We start from the raw sequence: 27,584 nt of genomic DNA, 5'->3' as shown, positions 1-27,584 counted from the left end.
GCAGCAGGAAAGCTGTCATCTCACTGCGGGCACAGGGAGCCCTTGGACACAGTCTGAGCAACGTCCTGGGGGAAGAGAGGACTGAAAAAACTGAACGTCCAGTGAGAAACTGTTCCCTGGACAGAAATGTGAAAAACAGCGCTGGCAGCACAGCCTGTGACTCACCGGCGTGTGCCCCCACACTGCAGCTGGGCCAGCGCGGGGCCCTCCTGATTCATGTTTTCCGTGGTTATCCGGGGAAATGGAAACCGTCTGGACGCGGCACCCACTCGCACGCCGGCGCTCACGCTGCGCTGATCAGCTTGGAAGTGCGGAAGGGCCTCCTCCCAGCCTCCTCCCCTACCTGCAGCCGCAGACGCTGGAGTGGGGAGGTGGCTGTCTTCACACCCCAGACCCACTGCCCAGGGCATGCTTCCCCGTAGGAAGCAAAACAAAGACCCGGTTCCCTGTCTGTGGGCAGGGGCAGGGGCCACTTTGAGGTCTTTTCTTATTTTTTGTTCCCTTGGGTAGTTCCCTCTGCACACAAACCACCGCGTGCTCTTGATGACTGAGCGCATGCCCTCAGTGAGGCATCCTAGGGCTGATGTGGTAAGGACGGTTAGGAGCCTACTCTAATGACATCTGAATTTCATGAAAGGGGGAGGGAGGGGACATCACAGTGCCGTGCTTGTGAAGTCACTGAGTGTCTTTTATCCTTGGAAAATTGTTCTCTGGGACATGCAGCTGGTTGCTAAAGTTTTCATTTTTCTGTGTCTGCAGATGTGCACAGAAGTTTCCAGTTAAGTTCCAGTTAAGCCCTAACCTGCATTAGGAAAAAAAGAAAAAAAGAATGTGTTTGCATGGCCTACAGAAGTGCTCAGTATGACCTGAAGCCGAATCACAGGCACTTTTCTCATTAGCTCCTGGGGCTGCGTCCCCTGGGCTTGTGTTCTGATCCTCTGGGCCGGCTGTGTGACCTTAGGGAACTTCCTTGCTTCTCTGAGCCTCGGTTTCCTTCATGGTAAAATGGGGAGGGTAATGATGCCTCCTGAGGTTGCTGGAAAGACTGACTGAGACAGTCCTCAGAAAGCACTTCACAGGGGCCAGCCCAGGGTAAAGGCACAGGAAACGCCACCCACCGCTGCAAATCCATTGCTGTTGAGTCCTGGGGGGACTTTCTTGCCTGTGCTGGCTGTGAGGCAGCCTGTGTGCTACCCCCTCCAACAGCCACACAGTGAGTTTTATTTTCGAATTGCATTGCTAATCCCTGAGGGGAAACACAAAGGCTAAGCAATAAGGCAGGTGTGTGAAACTCTCATTGCCATAAGAAACCTCCAGCATTCTCCCCGTCTTTGTGCACAGCCTGAACTGTTCATGTCACACTTCCTGGCTGCACTGTGGGCTTCTGTTCAGCCCCAAGATAGAGTTCCTCATACCTCCCCGCTCTTCTGACTCCTTCAGGCTGGCCCATCCCGAGGAAGGCGACCCTTCTCTTTTGCTTGCCACTTTCTCATGACCTTGAGCAGACAGCCCCTCTTGCTAGGATCCCGCTGTCTGGGTACATGGAGATACTGTGATCTGAGCCAGGGTTCCTGTCTCTCAAATGGCAGATGAGGACTCTGATGGGCATGTCAAGAGGCTGGGGCAGAGTGTGGGTCTGCAAGTCCCATTGCCTGAGGCACCTGTGTGGGGAACAGAAACCCAGGGACACATGATTGGCAGCTAGTGGAGGGAGGATGGAGCTGAGGGACTGATGGGGAGAGGCCAGATGTGAGCGGATATAGGGAGGAGCCAGGACCTGAGGCCAGATGAAGCTGGGAAGACCCAAAGTTTCTGAGAAAGTGGTCAACACCATGCACAGCAGAGAAGTCACAGGAAGAAATTGGAATGAAAATGTGAATTTGCAATTAGGAGGCCATGAAGAAAAGGAGCTTCCGTGTGTGGAATTGTGGGTTGAAAGTCAGAGTCAATAAATAGCAGAAGCAGAGGCAAGAGTGCCCTGCTCCTTCTAGAAATCTGGTGGCAGAGGGAAGGAAGAGAGGTAGCGATTTTAAAATCAGGTGCACTGGCGGGTACCTGTAATCCAAACTATTTGGGAGGCTGAGGCTGGAGGACTGCTTGAGCCCAAGCGTTCGAGTCCAGCTTGGGCAACATAGTGAGACCCCATCTCTTAAAAAAAATAAATAAAAGGTAGTAACTCTGAGTGCAGGGACCAGGGTTTTCTGTTTTGGGTGGTGGGAGACTGAACGTTTTGGAAATTTGGTGGAAAGAACCAGGTGAGAAAGGGGCTAATTGACCCAACATGGTCCAGGGCCAATCCTTTACTTAGGGACTGTTTATAATGATGTGCAGCTGCTCTGAGGACTGGAAAACGCCTGTTTGGCAAAGAGCTTGCCTGTCAGGAGGGGATTTGCCACTGGAAGGGAAAAGGAAATCATATCAATATAGTCTTTTCACGAGACGACCCTTCATGTGGAGACCTTGGCCCTTTAAAGTTTGAAATACATGTCCCCACATCCTTAGCACCTTTTTCTAGCTGCCACAACAGGCCACCTGCAGCCACCTCCCTGTGTTTCAAGGATGCCATCGTGTGGAAGGCGAAGGGAACAGCAAATATAAGACCCCTTTTATTCAAGGCAATTCACTTCTCGAAGACTAACCACACTAACCACCTTGCCTGACATTTGTATGTCTCCAGAGAACTTTCACAATTTTTTTTTCATTTGATCATTACAATAACCCTGTTTTACAGTCCAGTAAACAAACTCAGAGAGGTTAATTGACTTACTGAAGGTCACACAGCAGAGGGAAGGCATGGTCAATTGCCTCACTCCAAGTTCTCTTCTATCTTCACTGGGTCACTCTAGGCAATGTCATTCAACAGATATTCTACAGCCATGTTTTTCCAAATTTGCCCAACCTTTAGCTCTGGAACCCTGTAGACACATTTGCTTGGGTATGTAGACCTGTAGATGAGTATTCCTGAGATAAATTTCACAAGGCAGCACTTACCTGTATCAAATGTGGTGCCTCTGATTATTCTATTATTCTATTCTATCACATTTTTATAAAAATGCTATTTATGATCCATTAAATTGCTCTCATGACCCATTAGCAGTCAAGACCTATGGTTTGAAAGGCTGAATGATGACCCCCCAGCCAATGATGACTACATCCTAATCCCAGAATCTGAATGTCACCTTACATGGAAGAAAGACTTTGCAGATGTGATTAAGTCTCTTGAAATGAAGAGATTGTCCTAGAATATCTAAATGGGCCCTATGTCGTCACAGGGTCCTTATAAAGGGGGAAGCCAGAGGGTCAGAGTCAGAGGGAAAATGGGACCACTGGAGCAGACATTGGAGTGATGCTCTTTGAAGACGAAGAAGGGGCCATAAGCCAAGGAACACAGGTGGCCCCCAGAAGCTGGAAAAGGCAAGGAAATGAATCCTCCCTAGAGCCCCTGGAAGAAATCAATCCTGTCGACACCTGGACTTCAGCCCAGTCAAACTGTTATCGGAAAGGGGTCCGGATCCAGACCCCCAGAGAGGGTTCTTGGATCTCACTCAAGAAAGAATTCAGGGCGAGTCCACAAAGTAAAATGAAAGCAAGTTTATTAAGAAAGTAAGGGAATAAAAGAATGTCTACTCCCTAGACAGAGCAGGGCATTCCTGAAAGCAACAGGAGGAAGGCACCCACCTTAGGTACAGTGCTTATTTATACACAAGACAACAAAGTCAAGGAAATTATGGGGCGATGTGCTCTACTACGAGAGCTTGTGACAAAGGATTGTTCGTCTTTGTGTAACTATTGTCGTCTGCAAGAATCTATATTAATATCTTTAAAGTAAACTTATTCTTTTTTTTATTATACTTTAAGTTTTAGGGTACATGTGCACAACGTGCAGGTTAGTTACATATGTATACATGTGCCATGTTGGTGTGCTGCACCCAGTAACTCATCATTTAACATTAGGTATATCTCCAAATGCTATCCCCCCCACCCCAACCCCTAAAGTAAACTTATTCTTAAACTAAGAATGCTTTTGTACTTAAGATATCGGGCCATTGGGGCAGTTCCTGGGTCTGTGAAGTCCTGGGTCGGCTGCGTAAACATTATTAACTTGTTCCCTTAACCATAAACATCCTGTGGCTAAGAATCCCTAACTTCCTGGGAGTGCGGCAGAACAGATCTCAGCCTCAAGCGGATCTCAGCCTCATTTCACCCAGCCCCTCTTCAAGATGGAGTCGTTCTGGTTCAATGCCTCTGACAAAACTAGTTTTGGACTTTGGGCCAGCAGAACAAGTGATTCGATCTGTGTTATTTTCGGCCACCAAGTTTGTGGTAATTTGTTGCAGCAGCCCCAGGAAACTAATGTGGATGTTGTCTCAGCATGACTATTAGAGGCGTTACCCTGGCACCCTGAGGGGCATATGGCCCGCAGACCTGGGATGTTTGTTTGTGGCCTTCACGTTCTTTTAAAGTCTCTGTTGAATTATTGGCCACCATTTAAAAATCATGATGTTTCATGTGTAAATCAGAATTTTTGGCTTGTCTTTGTCTATCCAAGGCCCATGTTTCCACATGGCAGCGTCTGGCTTTGACCGGTCAGAACCTTCTTCTAAATCCTCTTCTCTTCCAATTCACTTCAAGAATTAATTTGAATTCTGGTAATATGTCACATGCACAGAATTTAGAGACACCGGGCAGTTCTACAAGGTTTGAATGAAAACTAAGTATCCAATCACCCAAACCTTTGAATACTTCTATTCTTCAATTTCCATATAATTTGCTCACTTTGGTATCTCGTGGGTAACAACACTGGACATCATCTTTCCACCGAGTGTCTAGAATGAAAGATAAGGGTTTAGCTCTCTGAGCCCCACCCCAACTCCATTTCCTTTCTCATCTTCCCAATGGGATTCAGTCGCAAGATTTGGACTTTAGAAAGTCTTTGCAGGGTAGTTAGAAAGGAGGGCATGGAGGAACACCAAGGTCAGGCCCAAGGTCTCAGAGTCTGTGGGCAGTGGGGAGCCTCGGGCCCTGGGGCTGGGGACTAATTCACAAGGCCATGTTGCATCTGACTGAGAAAAGGGATAGACCAGGAGAAGGTAGAGAAAAACTGGGTAGACATTTAAGGGAGGACAAAAAAGGAGGAGCCAGCGAAGGGAGTATTTTCAGGAGGGTGAGCTATGGAAAGGTGGGGCAGGCAGGCTGTGAGCAGAGAACTGTGGAGATTCAAAGGATCTGTGAGCCTGGGGAGAAGGTTCTTAGGAGGGTGGAATCCTCTGGGAGCCTACAGGTTGCTGGCACAGAATATGAGCAATCTCAGTGCTCCCAAATAAGTTGTGTAGGGTCCTGAAATGAGCCACATCCGGGGGTGAGGGTGCGGTGGAAAGAAAAAAGAGAAGAGCTAGTGATTCCAGCCTGGGAGCCCTCTCAGTTCTGGAGAATCCCTAGGAGTCCAGCCAGGTCTCCCAGCTCTCCCTTGAAAGAAGGCGCCCACCCACCGTGGAGGGTGGCAGTTGCAGCCTCTCTGCCCTGCCCTGTCCACCCTGCTCTGAAGCTCAGACTCCCCCTAGCACCAGGCTGGAGCACTCAGGGACAGCCACTCTCCCTGGCAGCTGCTGCTGCATGGCTTTTGTGCCCTGAAAGCAGGTTAATTACCTGTAACAAAAGCGTGTGCTCTGAAGCTCACAGCAACAAGCTTTCTGGGTAACTTTCTGCCTGTCGTTGTAATGCAGGAGTCACTGGGCTACATGTCCAAACTGGAACTGGGGACAGAAGAGCAAGGCAAACCCTGTAGAACCCAAGAGTGTCTAATTGCACTCCCCACCCCCACCAGTTGAGTTTCAGTGGAAGAGAGGTGATTATGGAAGGTGGAATGGAGAAATGAGAATGGGCCTTATGCTACAAGGTTGTCCAGACACAGAGTCAGTTCCTGGTGGTGCCGCTCACTGGCTCTGTGGCCTCCCGCAAGTACCTTCCCCTCTCCTGGACTCAGCCTACTCATGTACAAAATGGGAGTCATAAGCACTGCCTACCAGGCGGTTGTGAGAATAAAAGAAAAATACTGTGCTTTGGACGAGGGCTCTTTAGGTTGCAAGCTAACTCAGGAACCCGGGGAATCTCCCCCACATGCACGGACACAGCCCAAGACTGCTGGGTCCTGGCGCACAGATCTGGAGTTACCTGTCCATTTGTCCATCTGGTTCTCACGCAACATGGTCATGGCCTCTTTTCTCCAGCCTCTCTTCCATTCTCCTCTTTTTCCCAGACGACCCTTATACTCCCATATCCCTGGTTTTCTCAGGATCATAAGTACCTGGCCTGGGCCTCCAGGCCTGGACTCACAGCCCTTTCCTGAGGTGCCCATGATCCAGTCTCATACCCCAGGTTTCTCTAATTCACATTTAAAGGGAAGCACTTGTTGGCCAGCTCAGGCCTAGGAGCCAGGACAGGGTCAGGTCACTGGCCTATCCATGGATGGGCTGCCCTTGCCCCAGTGTCTACCCTGTGTTCAGTCATTTGCAAGAGCCCTATTGGGGTCTCTAACCCTGGGAGGAGAGGCTATGGACAAGTGAGGCATCCCTGGCAGGGGCCACATGCAGGTTGGATGGTGACCACAGCCCTGAGACATGGATATGTGAAAGTGTTACTCCTCTTCCTCCCAGCCAGTCACAGGACTCCCGGGATGGGAGAAGGATTTCCTTTCCAATTGGCTCAGCTTTCCTGGGAAGGTTTTCAGTCTGTCCCCTGAGTTTCCTGCCCCAACACACACTGCCTAAATACATTTTCTAAAGTTCCTCTTAGAGAACTAGTCTAGGAAATACAGGCCACACAATGGTGGTGGAGAAGACATTTGCTCTGAAATTAGGAAGTGCTCTGGAAACAATACCAAATAAAACCAAACAGAAACATCTTCCTGCATAGACCTGCATTGACAGCCTGCCTGAATGGGCTCTCAGGAGAAGGTGAGCGCTGCCTTGAAGGAGTCATTCTTGGGGTGGGGGGTATTTTTCTTGCTCCCTCCCACTCCCACAGTGAGGAGCAGCCGGGTAAGGCATGGGCATGCATGTGTGTGCACACACACACAAGCGCACACACATACACACACACACAAACATGGCCCTCTTAGGGATGCCAGCAAAGGGTGGGGCCCAGCACCCAGCCCTACTGCTCACTGCAGAAGCCATGCTGTGGCTCAGTCTGATTCAGACATTCTAACCCACTGTCCCCAGACACCTCAAAGTCTTACCCACACCAGCCCACACGCTCTCTCTCTTCTCAAGAATTTCCACACCCACCTCAGCAAACACTCAGAGCAAATCTGCCTACTTTCCAGTGCTCTCATAAATCAACTTGTTCTTTCAAAACGGTGAGGACAAGAAGAGGAGCTAAATGCATGTATTTATGTTGAGAGAAGAGGAGTGACACTTGCTACCTTCTTGCTCCTCAACTCTGTTTGTTTGTTTAAGTCAGACTTGCCCAGAAGTCAGTGTCAGCTACTAAGGAACACTCTTTTCCATTTCTCTTACCCTGTCAGACACTGGAGGCCTAGTAATAAGCTCAAATGCTTCTACCTGAGTCTCCCCATGCAGTCTGAGAAGGCTCTTCTGTTCCCATAGAGTCATGGTGGGCTGGTGACCAGCCCATGGAAGTTGGTGTGGAGGATGGGGAACACATGGAAGCAGCTCAAGAAAGATGAAATCTGCACAGTCCCTTCCTCCACAAGTCAGTGAACTCAATGATTTATTCCACTTATATTTATTCTGGAACTTTCCTACAATGCCAACTACTATTAAATAGCCATTCAGCTTAGCCGATTAACAAATAATAATAATATTAATAGAAATGTGAAAAGTGGCCTCAACAGGAGCCAGGGCACAGACTTACAGGTGCTGCTGTCAGAGAAGTGAGCTCCCCACCCTGACCCTGTGCCTCTGCTCAATGTCAAACCCTCAGAAAGGATAACGTGATTGGACCCCGGGTGTGGCAGGAAGTGCAGATGGCACACAGGGACAGTCTCTCCAGGAGCACATGGCATAGGAGAGCTTCCCAAAGGAAAAGTAGGGAGCTGGTAACAAAAGAAAGGGTATGGGTTGCAGGAAGCGCAAGTGTGCTCCCAGGAAGGCCTTCCTGTGTGTGTGGGAGGAGTACATGCTGGCTGGCCTGGCTGAACCCACCCATCTGCACAAAGGAACATCTGATCAGGAAGATTGAGACCTTGCTTCACTGCACATGGGGTTAAGGTAATGGCTGGTAGAGCTGGGCTGCCTCATGAGCTGAGACACTTCCCTGCCCCTCACGTACCTCACAGCAGAACTGCAGATGTCATAACCCATGGGGCTTAGCACTGTGCCAGGTTCATAGTAAATGTTTCACTGACATCAGCTGTTGACGACAATAAAGCCTTAGTACAAAGTAGACTTTTGTTCATTTCTCTTTAGTGGATAGGGAGTCTGCTTTCCTTTCTGCAGTCAGTTTGGTGGAGCAAAGTGGTATCCAGAGATGGACTATAAAGGAGACAAGATCTGTAAGGAGATAGGAGGCTCAGCCTGCTCCTTGGGACCACCAGCGGGTCCTGATTAGTGGTCTTGGGAGAAGAATAGCCAGAAGCCCTACACTGAGGTGAGAGAGGAGAATCTGCAGGAATAGAGTTTAGGGCCTTGGACTTTGGAGCCAGGCTACTGTACTTAGTGGTGAGAGTGAGCAAATCACTAATATCTAGAAGACTCAGCTCCCTCTTCATCAATGAGAGATAACAATAGCAGCTTCCTCTTAAGGTTGTACAGTTTTAATGTAAGAATGATCCAGAGGGCAACATGGTGCAGTGCTTCTTGGGCTGAAATTTCATGGAGCACTGATTTATCATCCCTCTCCTCTGTGGCCCTGTAATCAGTTGGTAATATAGACCCCTCTCTAATATTTCCAATGCTCTAACATGTACATTAATAAGGCTGAGAAGAAGGACAGTAAAGAGTCTTTTAAGTTATATTTAACCCAGTATTCCCCATAGTTCCTTAGGACCCCATAGGTCCTTAACCAAGGACCTCTTGAACTCTTAGAGAAAAACATAGGGGAAAATCTTCATGACATAGGATTTGGCAATGATTACTTGAATATGACATCAAAAGCACAGACCAAAAAATAAAAATAAAAATAATTTGGATTTTATCAAAATTAAAATCTTTAGTGTAACAAAGGACAATTGCAACAGAGTGAAAAGGATAGTTTTGCTGGATACAGAATTCTTAGTTGACAGGCTTTATTTGTGTGTCAATCTTTTGGACCTGTCATCCCATTATCCTGTGGTCTCCATTGTTTCAAATGAGAAATCTGCTGATAATCTTATAATTTTTCTACACATGATGAGTCAGTTTTCTCTTTCTGTTTTCAAGATTTTCTCTTTGACACTGGCATTCAAAAGTTTGACTATATGTCTAGTTGGGGAACTTTGTGCTTATCTTACTTGAAGTTCATTGAGCCTCTCTAGGTAGATTAAGGTTTTTCATCAAATTAGAAAGCTTTAGACCATTATTTCTTCAAATATTTTTCTGTACCTTTCTCTCTCTGCTTTTCTTGTAGAATTCCCATTGTGTGTATGTTAGTACACTTGATGGTGTCCCACAGGTCACTGAGACTCTGTTCATTTTTCTTTATTACTTTTTATTGGATAATTTCTATTGATCCATCTTCAAGTTTGGTGATTCTTTCTTCTTATATTATCTCATCTCTGCTGTTGAGCTCCCCTAGTACATTTTTAATATTAGATACTGACATTTCCAACTCTATAATTTCTATGTACCTCTTTTTAAAAATTTCTGTCTCTTTATTGATAATCTGTATTTGATGAGTCATTGTCATCATACTTTCCTTTAATTCTTTAAATATGGTTTACTTTAAATTACTTGAACATATGTATAATAGCTGTTTTGAGGTCATTGTCTGCTAACTCCAACACCTGGGCACCTCAAGAGATAGTTTCTACTGACTGCTTTTTATCTTATATGTGCAACACATTTTTCTGTTTCTTTGCAACTCGCATATTTTTGTGGAAAACTGGGTATTTTAAATAATATATTGTAGCAATTTTGGATTCTGGTTTTCCCACAATCTTGGGTATTGTTCTTGGTACTGTCTTTGTTTTTTTGTTTAGTGGTTTTCCTGGACTAATCCTTTAGTTTGTCTCCCCATGAATGTGGCTGCTAATGTCTCTGCTCAATTTTTTAAAAATTATTGTTGTTGTTTTTATTTTGAAGCCTGACTTCCTCAGAGTCATCCCTTGTTCAGCAGAGCACAGTGATCATGTAATTATTGGTCAGAGTTTGCGCTCAAACGTCTTGATCCAGTAAGCTTTCCAACCTTTGCTGACAGATCTGTTTATGGGTTTGAGATGCACTCAAAGTTCAGGCAGTTTACATGTTTTCTTGGTTGTTACTTTCCTCAGGACCATCTCATGTTCTGTCTGTATGTGTTCCAGCTTCTTGTTCAACCAAGGATGTGTAGATAGCTAGGGCCCTCTCTGTTCTTTCCTGAACATGCTCATACCTTTGCACATGTGCACACTCTTCTATACTTTCAGGTATACGGAAAAGCTTATCAAAGTCCACTATGAATATCTCATGACTTGGACCTCCTTGTTAAATTTCTGGCTAGTCTGCCAGTCTTGGTTGCTCCAAGCAGTATCTAAACTTTGAGCTAGCCATGACATTTCCTTTCTTGTTCATTTGCCACTGAGATTTCTACTTATTTTCAGCAACACATCTGAGCATGGGGTCTTTCTGTGCACAGCTTTTAACCAAATAAGCCACCTCTAGCAGGTGAGGTGCTGGTTTTTAAGGTATGCTTTCCCTGGTAGAATTACTGCATTGACTAAGCTGGGGGATGGGAAAATGAAGTAGCCCCAGGCTTAAAAATACCACACACTATTTTTCTTACCTGAGGTTCAGTAGTTTATCTTGAGTAAATGCTTCTCAATTTGTTGTATGGCTTTGGTCAATTTTCAGTCCTGAGATGGTTGTTTTTGATAATTTTGTCCAGTTTTATTATTACTTTTTGGGGAGAGGATTTGACAATCTCCTCATTCTGCCATTCTGGAAATGAAGAAGCTGACAAATCTGAAAATTACTGAGCACACTGGCAAATCTCTTAATTGTAGATTTATTTTAAAACATTTCATATAGATTCAGTTGCATACCCAAGTTGTATAACAATTATTGAAACACCAGGACTTAGAAAAATTGTTATTAATATTAGAAAAACTTCTCTTTACATCCTGGAAAATTTATTAGTTCAATGGCTCTCAATCTCCATTGTTTAATCTCTCTCAGACTTTAATCCCTAACTTTAAAAGTGGGTCTGGGGAAGATGGGAGTGCAGAATACTATTATGGTAAAAATTACATGCAATATTTATGCAAATGTGTTTTGAAAATTGAAATATTCTATACAAGTGTTACTGTCTTAAATGTGTTGGGGGCTATGCTGGGTGCTGAGGAATCAGAGTGGACAATACGGAGGTAGTCTCTGACCTCATGGAGTTGACTGCCTGGTAGGGCAACCGGACAGTAATTATGTATGTTGGAATTTGAATACAACCATAAACAATAACTCGTTCTTCTCCTTTAAAATTTAAGAGATAAGGCACAGGTGTCAGATGGAAATAAAAAAATATGTTTTATTATTGATAAAACTGGAAAGGCTGACTCAATCTGTGCCCACAATAGGGATCCCTAATATGTACTCCTACTATCCCCCTCAAGTGCTCCCATTCAGCCAACTCAGGAAGAGCTGGTGAAGGGTGAGTAGAGGAGGAGAATGTCCATAGGAGGAGATGCCCCAAAGAGAGGAATACTGTTGGGGTCTGAACTGCTTGGATGCATTTTTTTTTTCAATCCATCTCTCCTCAGACTATTGGAAGTGAGAGGAGAAGATTCCGTTAAGAGGGTGCCTGAGAAACTGCAAAGCTTAACGGTTAAGCAGAGGAGGGAGGAGTCTGTCTAAAAGGCAAACCAAGAGTGTTTAGTTCCAGAAGCCTAGATAAGAGATGGTTTCTACACACAAGAGTGTAGTCAGTAGTGGAGACTGCCACAGAGAGACCCAGCATGATGGGAAGGACCACAGGTGTCCACTGGATTGACTGAGGACAACAGTGGGAGCAATTCCAGTGAAGTTATGTAGGCAAATACTAGATTGAAGTGAACTGAGGAAGGAGTGAGATATGAGAACGTGGGGACTGTAAGTGAAGACAATTGTTTAGGGCAAGTTTATCTGTGAAGGGAGCAGGAAGACAGGACAGTACCTGCAGGGAATCAGATGGGAGTGGTGGGGGGTACAGCCTGTGTAGAGGATTATTTGTACTGGTGTTGGTGGTAGTTTTGATTGGTGTTGTTGATGGGGATTTCTTAGGTGCTTTTAAATATGGGAATGGCATGAACTGTTGAAAAGGGGAAAATACAAGCAAAATGTCAAAGACAGACAGCGGTGGGGGTCGACATGTTAGTGGTCCTTGGAATGAAGAAGTGGGATGGGATCCAGAGCAGGCAAAGAGGAGCTAGCTGCAGTCAGAAGAGGGACCACTCTTTCATTGTAATGGGGAAAAGGAAGAGGAGATTTTAAAAAAGACACAAGGGGGAGTGCCGATTTGGTGGTGCAAAGGTGAGAGTGCTCCATGTGACGGTTCCTATTTTCTCTGAGAAGGATGCAAGGTCATACATTGAGAGTAAGGGGTTGAACAGGGTCAGAGGATGGAGTAGACTGGAGACCATAAAGCCAAGTGAGGGAGATTCCCTCCAGACACTCTAAAGTCTGTGCTTCCACCTCTGTTCTTCTTTAAAACCACATATCATGGGTACCTATGACACTGATTTTCACAGCCAGTTTTTTTAAGTGCAAGAATTTTGCAATATGATATAAATTTGATGAATCATTGAATAGTTCTTTGTGTTCTGTTTCTCATGCTCCATCACTAACCCAGCCAAGATTTTCATTAAAAAAAAATTTCCAGACGTTGTTTATCAATCCAGGAGCTTGGCAAGAAAGGTCCACCTCTGTTCACACATGGGACAGACAAGACCAGTTTCTGACTGCCAGTAACTTTTACAAAAGGTGGGTATGAAGCTTCTCTCTCAAATTCTAATAATAAGAAGAACAATAATGTGTCAGATTTTATGTTCCAAGGACACATATTTGTACTCACATGTATTTATCCCATTTCATCCCTCCCAATGGGATGTGGGGTCTAGTTTCCCCCACTCAAATCTGGGCAGGGACTGTGATTGCCTGACCAATGGAGTATGGCAGAAGCTTGATGTTCCTGCTGGTTCTCTCTCTCTCTTTCTCTCTCTGGGTGTCAGGATGCTCACCTTTGGAACCAAGACACTATTATGTGAGGAAGCCCAAGCCACATGGAGAGACCCACACGGAGGAACAAGGCCTTTGCCAACAGGCAGCACCAATTAGCTAACTACACAAATGAGCCACCTTGAAGGTGACTCCTCCAGCCCCACTCTAGCCTTCGATGACTGCAATCCTGGCTGACATTTCACTGAACCTTCCTCAGAAAGCTCAGGCCAGAGCCACCCAGCCAAGGTGCCTGGGATTCCTGATCCACAAGAAACCATTTGTGGTAATAGTTATATTTTGTTGTTCTAAGCCCCTATGTTTTGGGGTAAGTCACTAGGATTTGTTTTGTAGCATCAGATAACTGAAATGAATGATAATAACAAATTTAACAAATACTATTTAAACATCTACCTCTGCCTGGGTTCTCAGTGCCTAGCACTGAATCTAGGGGAACTAGTTTGAAGTAGTAATCCTGAAATCACTAAGCTACGGTGCCTTACACACATCACATGTAATCCTCACAAAAATCTTATGCAGTAGGTGCTGAGATTAGACCTATTTTAACAGATGAGGAAACTGAGGTCCAGAAGTCACACAGCTGGTAAGTGGCTGGCCTGGCACAAGAACGGATGCATTGCTATCTCTGAGTCATATCTAAGATGATCTTCAGGATCTAAAGATATCCTTTCCCATTCCTCAGACTTCTTACCACAATCTGTCCCAGCTCAGGATACATACAGGTGAAGGATGGCATGTCACCAACTAAGGGGGATTATCCTATGAGCTTCTGGATAACTTGCCACCTTTGCCCTTGCCCTGTCAACTAACTGCCCCACTGCCAGTCCACCTCAATGTTGCTGTGCCTTTGAGGGTGTTGTCTGTGTCTGAATTAAGAAGGTAGACTGTGGGAAGAAGAAGACAGATCCTATAGGGAGCATCATGCATTAGGAAACAGAACACAGCTCTCAGGGTCCCCCATTGGTGATTTGTGCTTTAGCTGATGTAAGCTGAGCCACTCAGAGCACCCACGGCTTCCACCCACCCATGTGCTAAACCCCACCACCCTTTCCAAAATTGTTCCACAGCCCCATGCCCTTAGGAGCCTAGCATTCCAAGCTTGAGGCTCTTTGGGGCCTCCACTTTCTTCCCAGGAGGGGTTTTCCAATACATGCCCAATATGCACGAGTTGGTACATCCTTCCTTCCATCCAACCCATCTATGCAGTATGTTGAAGACACTTTCTGAAGCCTGTGGAGATCAACCTTCTCTGTTTCCCAGCACTAATTCACTTTTCAGCACTCTTCCTACATTTGTTCATTTTCCATGGGAATTTTGGAGAGAGAAAGTTTGACTTATGGGCTTGCCATCTTGAACCATGAATTGTAGATTTTTAATGGTAAAAGTATCTCCTCTGATGAGTAAGTTAATTTGGGATGGAGACCAGGGTTTTGGGCAGCCTGGCACAGAGAAGAGAAGCTGGGAGCGGCCCTGCCCAGGGCCTTTCTGACCTCACACCAATTTTCCACTTGGCTGCAAAGTAGCAGCTCTCCCAAGAGAACATGAGGACCTGGGGGCAAAGACTTGGGGTGTGGCCATGGTTGGAAACTCTAGCTCTCTAGATGGTTTTGCCTTTCACTGTGGTTAGAAAGGATACATAAATAAAGAGTACTAAGTATTCTATGTCTTGAAGATGCAATTTTCCCGCCCACAGCTAAGGGCTACTAGCCAACAGCAGTTCCCTGAAACCAAGGAAAAGATGGCCTGTGGGAACATGAGTCAGTGGCCTTGGCCTTGGGGAGGGCTCCAGTTAGGATCACTCAGCCTGTTCTTCCTCCCACCTCAATCTACTGGAACCTGCGTGTCAGGAAACCCACGATGATACAGTATTTATGGAAGAGCACATAGGTCTCTAAGGAACTACAGCGACATTCTGGGAGTCATGGTCTGCTCTGGGAAGTTTCAATGTGAATGAGACCAGTCTCAGGCTCAATCCCTACACCAGCCAGTTCACTCTTCCCTGATCTGTGACCGAAGGCTGTACTGTATCCCCACCCCAACGGCCATGTGCTACTGGCCTAATCATCTGTTGCCTCCCCCAGCCCATGGTCTTCTCAACCATGCAAGGAGACCCCATCACCACTGGGGCCAGCTCAAAGAGGCAGAGTAGGTCTGGCCTCCATAGCCCTCTGGCTTAAAGAGGAGTAGGATCACCGGAGGTCTTGCTAATGACCATTTTGGACAAATGACTTGTTTGTAGGCCTTGAAGCTGAGCCCATACTCTGGCCCTTCTCTCAGAACTAGGAATTCCAGAGCCTGTCCAAGGAGTCCTAGAGGCCTCTACTGGGGACCATCCCCTACAAGTCAGGCTTCTCCCAGGTCCACTTGGATTGGTGGGCTGCACCTGGGACCTGCTCTGGCCTTGCCTGTGGCCCCAACCCAGCCCTGTCCTCTTACACTCAGCTCCCAATCTGAGATGAACTTCTCAACCAGTATCTCCACTGTTGCTCCCTCAGCTAATAGCATCCTTGGCTGTCCACACTCAGCACTAACTTGACATTGTGCAGCTGCCTGACCTTCTGGACTAGACCTTCCCTGGTTTTTATAAATCAAAGAGCATCTTTCGGTAAAGGGATGATGGTGAACATTTATAAATGTCCCACAGACACAGGCCATCAATAGCAATGACGGCAGTGGGAGGGCAGCCCAGCTCCTGCGGGTTTCCACCAAACAGGAAAACAGGCTCAGGATTGTCAGATGCTCACAGTATTTCAAGAGCCATGAGAAATCTGGAATTTTCTGTGAAGTCTCCTGCTTTTTAGTTGTTAATTCATTAATATTTTAAAACATGGTGAGAGGCCCAGGCGTGGTGGCTCACACCTGTAATCCCAACACTTTGGGAGGCCGAGGCCAGTGGATTACCTGAGGCCAGGAGTTCAAGACCAGCCTGACCAACATGATGGAACCCTGTCTCTAGTAAAAATACAAAAAAATTAGCTGAGCATGGTGGTGCACACCTGTAATCCTAGCTACTCAGGAGGCTGAGGCAGGAGAATCACTTGAATCCAGGAGGCCGAGGTTGCAGTGCGCCGAGATCGCACCATTGCACTGCAGCCTGGGCGACAGAGCGAGACTCAAAAAACAAAACAAAACAAAACACGGTGAGAGCCAACCAAAACATATCTGCGAACCTAACCCAGGACCACCATTTGTGACCTCTACTAGGAGTACAGCCATTTGTTTAGTAATAATAATGAAAGGGATGATGTTAATAATAAAAGGTATTGAGTGTTCACCATGGGCCAGACATTATTCTAAGTGTCTTATATGGGTATCTGTTTTCAACCTCACTACAATATTATGAGGTCTATAGAAACTATTATCATCATATTTTGTTCCAAAAAAATAGTGACAAGTAACCTGAAAAAGGCTAAGGAATGTGTCCAAATTCAGACACCTAAAAAATGTCAGGACTGGACCCAGCCCCAGCAGCGCATGGGGCCATGACCAAAGCACCATGCCTCATTCCTCACAAGCACAGGAAGGAATGGGGAGGGGGTTTGTTTTAAGGGCTAGGATATATTTTTTTCAAAAACACTCCTATAAAATACACAAAAATGCAAACTGGTCCCTCTAGACAGGTAGGACTCTAAGTAACTTCTTTCTTTTCTTTTGTTTCCAAATATTCCTTTATATTTTTTAAACAAATGTGGTAGGATTATTAGTAAAGGCCTGCATAAGCCCTGGTCTGTCTCTGTGTCCCCCCACCCTGGGAGGAAGGTCACCCTCTCAGCTGAGTTCCCCAACTCCTTGGTGATACAACCTTGCAGCGAGGAACAAGCACTGTGGGTCTTAGTCCCAGTGACTGAGTGTGTGCACGTGCATGTGCCTTTGTGTGTGTGTGTGCATGTGCGTGTGTGTGCATATGTGAGCATGTGTGTGCATATGCGTGCATGTGTGTGCGTGTGCATGTGCATGCATATGTGCATGTGTGTGCGTATGTGTGCATGTGTGTGGGATCATGTGTGCGTCGGTGCATGTTTGTGTGTGCATACGTGTGTGTGTGCATGTTTGCACGTGTGCATGTGTTCATATATGTGCATGTGTGCATGTGTGCATATGGGTTGCATGTGTGCATAGGTGTACGTGTGTGTGCATGTGTGCATGTGCACGTGCATGTGTGTGTGTGTGCATGTGCACGTGCATGTGTGTGTATGTGCATGTGCACGTGCATGTGTATTGGGTGTGCATGGGGGCTGGATATGCAGATGTGTATTTTGGAAAGGTGTTCCAGATAATTCTGCTAGCCAGATGGCATTTTGGCTGAGAACAATTATTTTAAAAGTAAATATTAAATCTAATCTTTAATACCCCTAAGACATCTATTCTTACAAGAAATGAAAAACCTTATTTTATTCACTCTGTTATCAAAGTAGTTTGGGCTCCTTCAAGAAGATTTACAAGATACAAAATGTAGAAGGAAAAGAAAAATACACAAAACACCATAACATAACTACTATTTATACTTTAGTTCTTTCCCCCTTGGTCTTTTATGTATTCATAAATAACTGTGTGTGTGTGTGTGTGTGTGTGTGTGTGTGTGTTGTCCAAATGTACAACTAACCTAGTATCTTCCTTTTTAAATTTAATATATCATAAGTGCTTTTCCATGTTGCTAATATTATTTATTGGGAAAATTGTTTAATGACTCTATAATATTCTATCAAGTGCATTTGTAATAATTTTTCACCTTTCCTATGATTGACTATTTCAGGGTTTTTCTACTCAAGTTGATTATTATAAAAATGGCAAAATAAATCTTTGCCTATTTTTTCATATTTTTTGTTTAGTTTTCAGAATAGATTCCAAGAGAAGAAATTAATGAGTGAAAGCATATGAACATTTTTAATCTCATAAAACGTGCTGCAAAATGTATTTCCAAAAAAGTTGAAGAGATTTCTTTTCCCTCCAACAATGTATGAAGGTGCCTATTGTATATACCCTCACTAGCTTTGGGCAATCTCACCTAAGCACAGCGGGGAGAAAAGAAAAAACAAGCTGCTATTTTAAAACAATTCCACACAACAAGATGTACGGTGTGATGGTACTATCCATCCACATATTTCAACAGGAAATCTCCTTCCCAAGCCCAAGGTTTATAGTTGTTTAATCAGGTGAACTGAAGCAAATCAAAGAAACAAAAAACCTAAGGTCCACTGATAGTTGAGCCATCCTAAATCCTATGGATTAGGACAGCTTTCCCTCAGCATGACGAATCCTTTCCCTTCCTTAGAGCTGTGTCTGAGGCTGGCACTGAGCCGCAGGCACAGGGGCAGGTGGCCGTCTGCTGGGCTCTCAGGCCACGGCCTGCGGTCGACGGGCAACCCCAGCCTGGGGGCAGCCTGTCACTGGGACCAGGCCCCACTCAGCTCCCATGAGCTGCATGAGATTTGTCAAGTGTACTTTGTACTCTGGACCTAGAGTGGCAGGAACGCAAGAAAGTGGGGAAGAGGGGCAGGAGGGGTGGCACTACTGGACTCTGACTACAGTGGACAGAGGTAAAATGCAGCTTCGGTAAAGGGACTGGAGAGTGTCTCGCCTTTCCCACACAGGCAGAATGTTGAGGGGTCCAAGGCAGAACACACAGTGACAAATGGACCTCAGGGACAAAGGGGAGGGCCGAGTAGCAGTGACGCCCTGGCAGCAGTGAATGCACCTAGTGCCCAGGCCTTGGACTCTAAATAACGATCTCCAGTTAAAGGAACCAGGGCTCCTGGGAGAAATGGCTGACACCAGGGCTGACACTGGGAATGAGCAAGATTAGCCAGGAATATTTTGTGGTGCTAGAGAGTAAGAAAGGGATCCAAAAATGACAGGGCCATGCCAGAACAGGGGCCAACCGGAAGGCTCCCCCAGTGACTGAGCCTGGGATACGCAGAGCAACAAAATGTATAATGATGGCAACACATGACAGTTCCTAGAATCTAGAAAACACCCCTGAGTCCACATGGATACGAAGAATAACTGAATAAATAAACAGGAGGGGAAGTTCAGCTCTAACTTCCAGTAGAATTCCAGTAGAAAGAATGATGGAAATAGAAAAATCATTACTCGGCAAACACCGTAGTACTCATTATTGCAGGCAAAGGTCGTTTGATGGATGCTAAAATTAGTGAGTGAAAGATTGATGAAGAACAGAGTATTTATACAGCCTCTAAGTATCCCCCAACCAGATACTTACTGATTACAAAGGGAAGAACAGAAACTTTACAGTGGAGAAACCTAGCGGACACCACTTGAACCAAATCGAGTTACCATTACTGGTAATAAGACATATTGACCTCACGTACCCACCAAGCACAATGCACTGAGAAGGGCACAGCGTTGCTCCTGGGGTACCCTTGGCAAAAATGCATAATTTCAGCGTCACAAAGAAAATATCCGCAAAATAACAGATGGGCTTTCATCATTGGTGTGAAGATTATAAAAGGCAAAGACTGAGAACTGTCCCAGATTAGAGGACCAGGGAGATCTGACAACTAAACGTGGGCTTCTGGATTGGATCTGGGACCAGCAAAAGGCCACAGGAAGGACACTGATGAAATCGGAATGAGGCCTACAGATTAGTTAACAGTGTTTTATCAGCGTTAATCTCATGTTAATAATTGAACTATTGGTTATCTTGGTATTAACATTTGGGGAAGCTGGCAGAAGAGTATAATACAATTTTTGAACTATTTTTGTAATTGTAAGTCTAAAATTATTTCAAAATAAAAAGCCAAAAAAGAAAACAAAAAGTGATAGAAGCAATTAATTGCTGCCACAACCAAATACTGTGTTTAGCTTTACTTCTTCCCCTCCCTTTTACAAGATACTATTTTTTTCAATAAATTATGTATTAAAGACATTTTAACATCGAAAACCATCAAAGACATCACTCCTCACAAGGCTATGGTCTACAGTAATTGGCTGTTTTCCTTTCTCTCCATGTCTATCTTGAAGAGGCGACAGGTTTTTAAGGCATATTTTGGACGGGCATTTAAGGAAGTCCTGTGCCCTCCCAGGGCCCCGGTGGGCAGCACTATAGTGGTCAGTCGGTTTTTCTGACTGCCAAGATCTTTTACCTGCTTAACGAATAATGTGCTTATTTGTTCCTTCGTTTTTAACTTTGTATAAAAATCACAAATTCCAAATTATCTCCACCTGTAAAAAGAATTAACTATCTCCTTTTTTTTTCAGAACTTTCTTCACTTGTTTTGTTTTGCATCAATCAATTAACGTTCTATCTGTCTATACACATGGTTCTTTTTCTTCCTCAAAAATGTCATTGGAACAAACAATATTGACTGCATAATGGTTCAAAAACACAGAAAAGCACAAAGAAGAAAATTAAAATCCCCTGTACTGTTTCCCCTGGAGACATCCATAGCAATACTTTATTGAAAACGTATTCCCACGTCATTAATCTAAAACGTGACTTTAATGGCTGCATATTGTTCCATTTTACGGATTGACGACTTACTCAAACTTCTATTGCTGAACATTTAAATTGTTAGAAATCTTTTCCTACTACAGATAACATTCTAAAATGACTGTTTCTGGTTTGTAGATATTTTCACATCTCTATTTAGATGGAGTCTTATAGTTGTAATTATAGTATTAATAAATATTTACTTGTTTAGGATATCAACACCCTTCAGAAAGATGGTCTTTTTTGAGTCTTCATTCTTGGTACCTTCACCAAATTAATTACTATTTTAAATCCTTGTCAAATTTATTTGCTATGGCTATGTTATTTAACAATTTACCAAGCACCCTTTATTGAATAGTATTTCTTTTCTCCACTAATTTAAACTATTATTTCTGTCTTGTCCTAAATACATATGTGTACTTGATTTTAGATTTTTCTCTTCATTTTCTCTTGTTTTTTTTTGCATCAGTATCACTATATTTTAATCAGTATACCTTTGATATATTTAGTTCAGTATTTGACAATGCCAATATCCCCTCATTATAATTTGATAAAATATCACTTTCTTGACTATTTTTATCTTTTCTTTCCTAAAGATAAATACTGACATGATTTTGTAGTTTCAATTTTTTTTCACTGGGAATCTGCTTTTGTTAATCACTTTGAGAAAATTGATATGTTAACAATACTTTGTCCTTCCTCAGGTCATGTGGGTTGGTCCCTTCCTTAAAAACTAACAAAATGGAGTTTATTTTAAAATCTCGGGAGTAAACTTAGCTTGAAGAGACTACATTTTTCTCGGGGTAAACTTAGCTTGGAGGGACTACATTTTTCTCGGGGTAAACTTAGCTTGGAGGGACTACATTTTAGTGGTGAGCCTTAGAACTAAAAGTCATCTAAAGTCAACAGGATTAACTAGAGAAAGGTCAAACTGAGCTAATTATATAAATCTTTGACATGCTGTCTTGATTAAAAAAGAACTTAAGCTAGCATTTATAGGCACACTTAGGAAAGTTAGTCTAGAATCTCACAAGAGTGTGCAATCAAGACATTTTCAGAGATTTGTCTGTGAGTTCCTACAGCTGAATTAGGAGCTGGTCAATTAGTTCTCCCAGCTGAAGGTCAGCTTCAGTGTCATGAACAATTAAGCCAGGGCTGTTGGATCACTTGAGTAAAATATGAAGTACAGACAATTTGAGAATGAGCTAATAAGGGAGAAGCTCCAACTGGCTATGGGTTTTATCATAAGATGAAGCAATGAGCAAAAGTCTAGATGTCAAGTTGGATTTTAATTGCATTTAGTCCCTAATCTCTGAATTTACTGTTTGGCATATACTTAAAACTACAGATGATTTCTATCACTGAGTTTCCACTTAATTTTCTTGCTCATTTACACTCTCTAGGGGTGCTGCAGATTACTGTGGTTCAGTTAATGGGGACAAATTTCTGTTCAACTGCAGCCCCAGGCCTGAGGCAACCTCAGGCTACAATAACCACCTGTAGAGAAAGGTGGGGAGGGTGCCTCAAGTGGAGCACAGCAAATCTGTTGTGTCAGCTGCGGCTGAAGTCGGCCCCAACCAGGTCAGCTGGCAATGGGAGATAAAGGCTCATCACCCTAGCTGGCTACAGAAGTCCAGGGCCAATGGCAACCAGAGAGGAAACTGCTCTGGCACAAGACTTCCAAGTCCTTGCTCCTGCTGACTAATTGCAGTTCCCACCTTGCACATCAAATTGCATTAAATATACCAAAAAGAGAGGTCAAGAATTTTTGAAGCTGCTTATTCTTTTACCTGAGATGAATTTCCCTTTGTAAGGCTAAAAGAAGCATTGAAAACTCATCAGTTTTGGCAAATGGAACGATGGCAAACAACCCATTCGGGAAATTTGAACCTGTGTGAAACAGAGCTCTTTCAAGAAACAAAAGAAAACTTACAGAAAAGAAATCAAGGTTAAGAAATTTGAACTGTATATTCTAAAAGAGATTTGAGGAGATAATATTCTTTCTTCATGACTGTTGCACTGATGCAATCTGAAAAAAAAAGAGAATTCTTAAAGTATTACATACCCAACTAAACTACCAATAAAGGAGGAAGGCAAAATAAAGACCTGTTAACAGTCAAAAAATCAGAATATTGTCTTCTATATGTAAATCATGAGGAGAGGAAAATGTGATTAGCAAAAATTCCTGCAAAAAAAAAAAAAAAAGAGGAAGCTAGGGAAAAGGAAGATATCAAATTCAAGAATCAATGGAGATAAATCAAAAATGCAATGAAAAGAAACTCCAGCATATAAGCATTAAGATGAACGACATATGAAGAGTAAAAAAACAACCCACAGGATGGGAAAGGATATTTGCATTCCATATATCTGACAAAAAAAATGATCAAGAACTTATGTAGAGCTCTGAAGAATCAATAATAATAAAATGCTAGAAACCAATCCAAAGGTAAAATGGGCAAGAGATTTTACAAAAGAGAGTGTCCAATGGCAATAAACATTTGAAAAGATGCTCCAATTTATTAGCTGTTAGAGTGGTGCGAATGAAAATCATTGTGATGTTACACTGTACATCCCTCAGAATGAATAAAATTTAAAAAACAAAATAGACAATACTAAATGTTGACAAGGATGTAGACCAAGTGTAACTTTCATCCACTGCTCATGAGAATGTAGATTGGTAAACCCACTTTGGAAAACTTCCATAGTGGGATGGCAACCCTTAGATCAAGGATTTGGAATCCCAGATCTGGCCTCTTCCTGCTGTTTAACAGAAATGTATTCTGGTGCTCTGTGCCTTGGGAACAGCTCTGTGAGAAGTTTGGCTTAGTGTCAGTCGGGTTCTTGGGAGGAAAAAGATGGCACACACAGGCTCTGCCTCCCTGGCAGCCCCATATGGGCCAAGCCTACAGCTGAAATCCCATTCCATGTCCTTGGCCTTTGTCCTTCTCGCCACCACTCAGGGAATTTGCGTTTCCTGTAGAGTTGCAACGTCACTCTCTACTGGACTGGAGGTTCTGCTTCCACTAGAGGGCAGTGTAAGAGTTCCACCCAAGTTGAGACTCCCGTCATTTTGGGTTCCTCATGCCAGCCAACCAACAGACAAAGAAAGGAACTGCCCTAGTGATATTTTGAGCCAGATAATTCTTTGTGGCAGGGTCTGTCCTGCACACTCAGCAGCATCCCTGGCCTCTACCCTCTAGATACCAGTAGCACCCTCCACCTCCAACTGGGACAACCTAAAATGTCTCCAAAAATTGCTAAATGTCCCTTGGAGGACAAAATTGCTTCTAGTTGAGAACCACTGATTTAAAGACATTGTCCCCAATGGTGGACAGATCACAAGGCTTTGGACAAATAAACTCTAGTTATGATATTGCAGAGTTTCGTTGGATCTGTTCTATAATAAGGGGCTGAGCAACAGTGAGGGCAGGCAAAATGAGGATTTCAGATCGACCTTCCCATAACTGCTTCCATAGCCCAAGGCTATTTCACCAGATAAGCTTTGGGTCATGCTTTAGTGCTAAAGGTAGTTTTTCCTGTAAAATTTATGAAAAAGATAAAGCTATATATTTTCTTAATACTTTAAATATATTTGAAACCACTTGGTATTAGGGAAAGAGAATGTACTAGAATCTGACAGGGGGAGTTTAGAATCCTGGCTGCACTGTTCCCCAGCTGTGTGAGGTCGAGTTCCTGACTTCTAGGGGTGGGGACAGGGGTGGAGGCAGCTTCCTCCGCCTGTAAAAGAATACCTAAGCAGTGGGCTTCTTGGAGGACTCAATGACAGAACACTTGGAAGCATTCAGTAATGCCTTCACTAAACACCTTTTCCTAGTTTAGGGTGTAGGGTTTCTTCTTGCCCTCTGTTCTTCATTTTGTGTGTCCATCTCTCTGCCTTACCATGGTAGATGAGACACATAACCTCCCAGGCAATGAAATCATTAGTCCTCCTGACCAAGGCAGAAATGACAGCTTCACCCAACTGGAAAATAGAACTTGAGACTTTTATAAACATCTCCGGAATTAACAAGGAATAACCCCTGACAAACAAGTAGGTGTGGTCCCCTGAAAAAAAAGACGGTTTTGTGGAGTCTCACAACCCACTCGGACCAGCCTGGCAGAGGAGGCAGGGCTGAGGGTGGGGAGGGGAGCAGGGCCAAGGTGACCACTGATTCTGTAGAACTGATGGAAATTGGGAGCCGGGTGAAACAGTCTTGTTTCAAAGCCTCTCCCTGAGAAAGCAGTTTGGGAGAAGGTAGAGGAAACAGAAGGAAGCATGTGTGTGTGCATACACACATGTACACATGCACACAGACATACACACACACAGACTCTCACAAAGACACACACATGCTAACACATCTGTTCATACTCTCACACGTGCACACAGGCACCCATACTCACACTCATGTACGTAGGCTCTTACACAAAAATTCTCACTGATTTTCACGCACACTTGCTCACGCAGACCCTTTGACACCCATATACATGCATACATATCTGCACACATAAATGCACATATGCACACACACACTCATATGTACACATACACCCATCACTCTCACAAACTTTCATGCACTCATATCACACAAGCATGTTCACTCACACTCACACACATCACACACATTTGCATGCACTCACATACTTGTGCACACATCACACACAGACATGCATTCACACACATCACATGCACTCAGAATCATACACTCACAGACTCACACTCGTGCATTCGCTCACACATCACATGCACACTTAGACTCATGCACTCACACACACAAACATCACATGCACAGACTTACAAGCACACACTGACATTCGCACATCATATGCACAGACTCATGCACTCACACACTTGCATATCACATGCACATGCAAAGACTCACATTCACTCACTTGTTCACATATCACATGCACACTCAAACACACATGCACACAATTACACTCACATCATATGCACACTCAGACTCACATGCACTCACACTGGCCCACACACATCACATGCACACTCAGACTCGTGTCTTCACACACTTGCTTACACTTACAAACATCACATGCACACTCAGGAACTCACACAAACACATCACATGCACACAGACTCACATGCACTCACAAACTAGCTTACACACAAACATTGCATGCACACTCAGACTCACAGGCACTCACTGACACTTGCACATCACATGCACACTCAGACTCACATGGGCTCCCACACACTTGCACATCACAGGCACATGCAGACTCACGTGCACACACACTCATTCACACAAATCACAGGCACACACGTGCTCACACAATTACACTCACATATCACATGCACACTCACAGACTCATGCATTCACAATCACTGACACATCACATGCACATTCACTCATGCACTCATACACTTGCTTACATTCACAAACCACTCACGTTCACGAACATGCACTCAGAAACTTGCTTACACTTACAAACATCACACTCAGACTCACATGCACTCATTTAAACTCACACAACACATGCACACTCAGACGTACATGCAGTCACTTACATACACATCACATATACACGAACACTCATGCATGCACACACTTGCTCACACACACACTGAAACATTTGCTTACATCAAACACACTGAGACTCACATGCACTTGCTCACACACATCACATGCACACTGACTCATGTACTCAAACGTGCTTACACTCACATCACCTGCAGACTCGTGCACTCATGCTCACTTACACACATGCCACACACACAATTCACACTTGCTCACACATATCACATGCAGTCACAGACTCATGTGCAGTCACAGAATTACTCATGCACATTACATGCACAGACTCACATGCACTCACACACTCACTAAAACACATCACACGCAGGCATGCACTCACACACACATCACATGCACATACAGACTCATGCACTCACACACACACTGCATGCACAGACACATGCACTCACTGTCGCTTACACTCACACACCACAGACTCATGCACTCACAGACACATCACATGCACACCCACATGCACTCACACTCGCTTACATATATCACATGCACACACACACACACTCAGATGCACATGCACTCAGTTATACACACACATCACATGCACACTGACATGCACTCACCCACTCATACACATCACACACACTGACTCACATGTGCTCACAAACTTACTTATACATCACACCCACACTCAGACACATGCACTCGCTAGCTCACACACATCACAGACCCACATGTACTCACACACACAGATCACATTGACAGACTCACATGCACTCACATGCTTGCTCACACATATCACATGCACACTCAGATGCACATACTCACTTGTTTACACTCACACACACCCTCAGACTCACATGCACTCACACACACATCACATGCACTCACACACATAGATTACTTGCACACTCAGAAACGCACTCAGACATCACATGCACATTCAGACATGCATGCACTCAGTCACACCCAAACACATCACACACACTCAGACTCATGCACTCACACTCGCTTACCCTCACATCACATGCACACTCAGACACATGCACTGAGAAACTTGCTTACACTCACATCACACACACTCGGACTCACATGCACTCACACTTGCACATCACATGCAGACTCATGCGCTTACACACATCACACAGACTCGCACTCACACTCGGTCACATCACACAGACACATGCACTCAAAAACTTGCTTACACACATCATATGCACACTCAGACTCGTACTCATGCTTGCTTACACGTACAAGCCACATGCATTCACACATGCTCTCGCTCACACATCACACAGACAC

At 44.3% G+C, this 27,584-nt stretch overlaps 1 long non-coding RNA gene across 1 annotated transcript, besides 3 other annotated features; it reads left to right on the top strand.

Moving 5' to 3' along the window:
- Window positions 235–769: an enhancer, noted in NCBI's record as "H3K4me1 hESC enhancer chr2:238064682-238065216 (GRCh37/hg19 assembly coordinates)". NCBI's record gives its function as "activates a minimal SCP1, AML or CMV promoter by ChIP-STARR-seq in naive H9 embryonic stem cells {active_cell/tissue: H9 hESC(naive)}" and the evidence as "EXISTENCE:reporter gene assay evidence [ECO:0000049][PMID:30033119]".
- LOC124906127 (uncharacterized) lies at window positions 9,432–23,000 on the top strand. The gene is made up of 2 exons (XR_007088143.1): window positions 9,432–13,088; window positions 13,337–23,000. It is a non-coding gene; the product is annotated as an uncharacterized LOC124906127 (long non-coding RNA).
- Window positions 18,186–18,688: an enhancer, noted in NCBI's record as "H3K4me1 hESC enhancer chr2:238046763-238047265 (GRCh37/hg19 assembly coordinates)". NCBI's record gives its function as "activates a minimal SCP1, AML or CMV promoter by ChIP-STARR-seq in primed H9 embryonic stem cells {active_cell/tissue: H9 hESC(primed)}" and the evidence as "EXISTENCE:reporter gene assay evidence [ECO:0000049][PMID:30033119]".
- Window positions 18,689–19,192: an enhancer, noted in NCBI's record as "H3K4me1 hESC enhancer chr2:238046259-238046762 (GRCh37/hg19 assembly coordinates)". NCBI's record gives its function as "activates a minimal SCP1, AML or CMV promoter by ChIP-STARR-seq in primed H9 embryonic stem cells {active_cell/tissue: H9 hESC(primed)}" and the evidence as "EXISTENCE:reporter gene assay evidence [ECO:0000049][PMID:30033119]".
- Window positions 23,001–27,584: the final 4,584 nt, after the last annotated feature.

Source organism: Homo sapiens, chromosome 2, assembly GCF_000001405.40.
Source record: "Homo sapiens chromosome 2, GRCh38.p14 Primary Assembly".
In the NCBI taxonomy this organism is placed as follows: Eukaryota; Metazoa; Chordata; class Mammalia; order Primates; family Hominidae; genus Homo; species Homo sapiens.
Note: the sequence above shows the minus strand (reverse complement) of the source record. Positions and strands in the feature narration are given on the sequence as shown.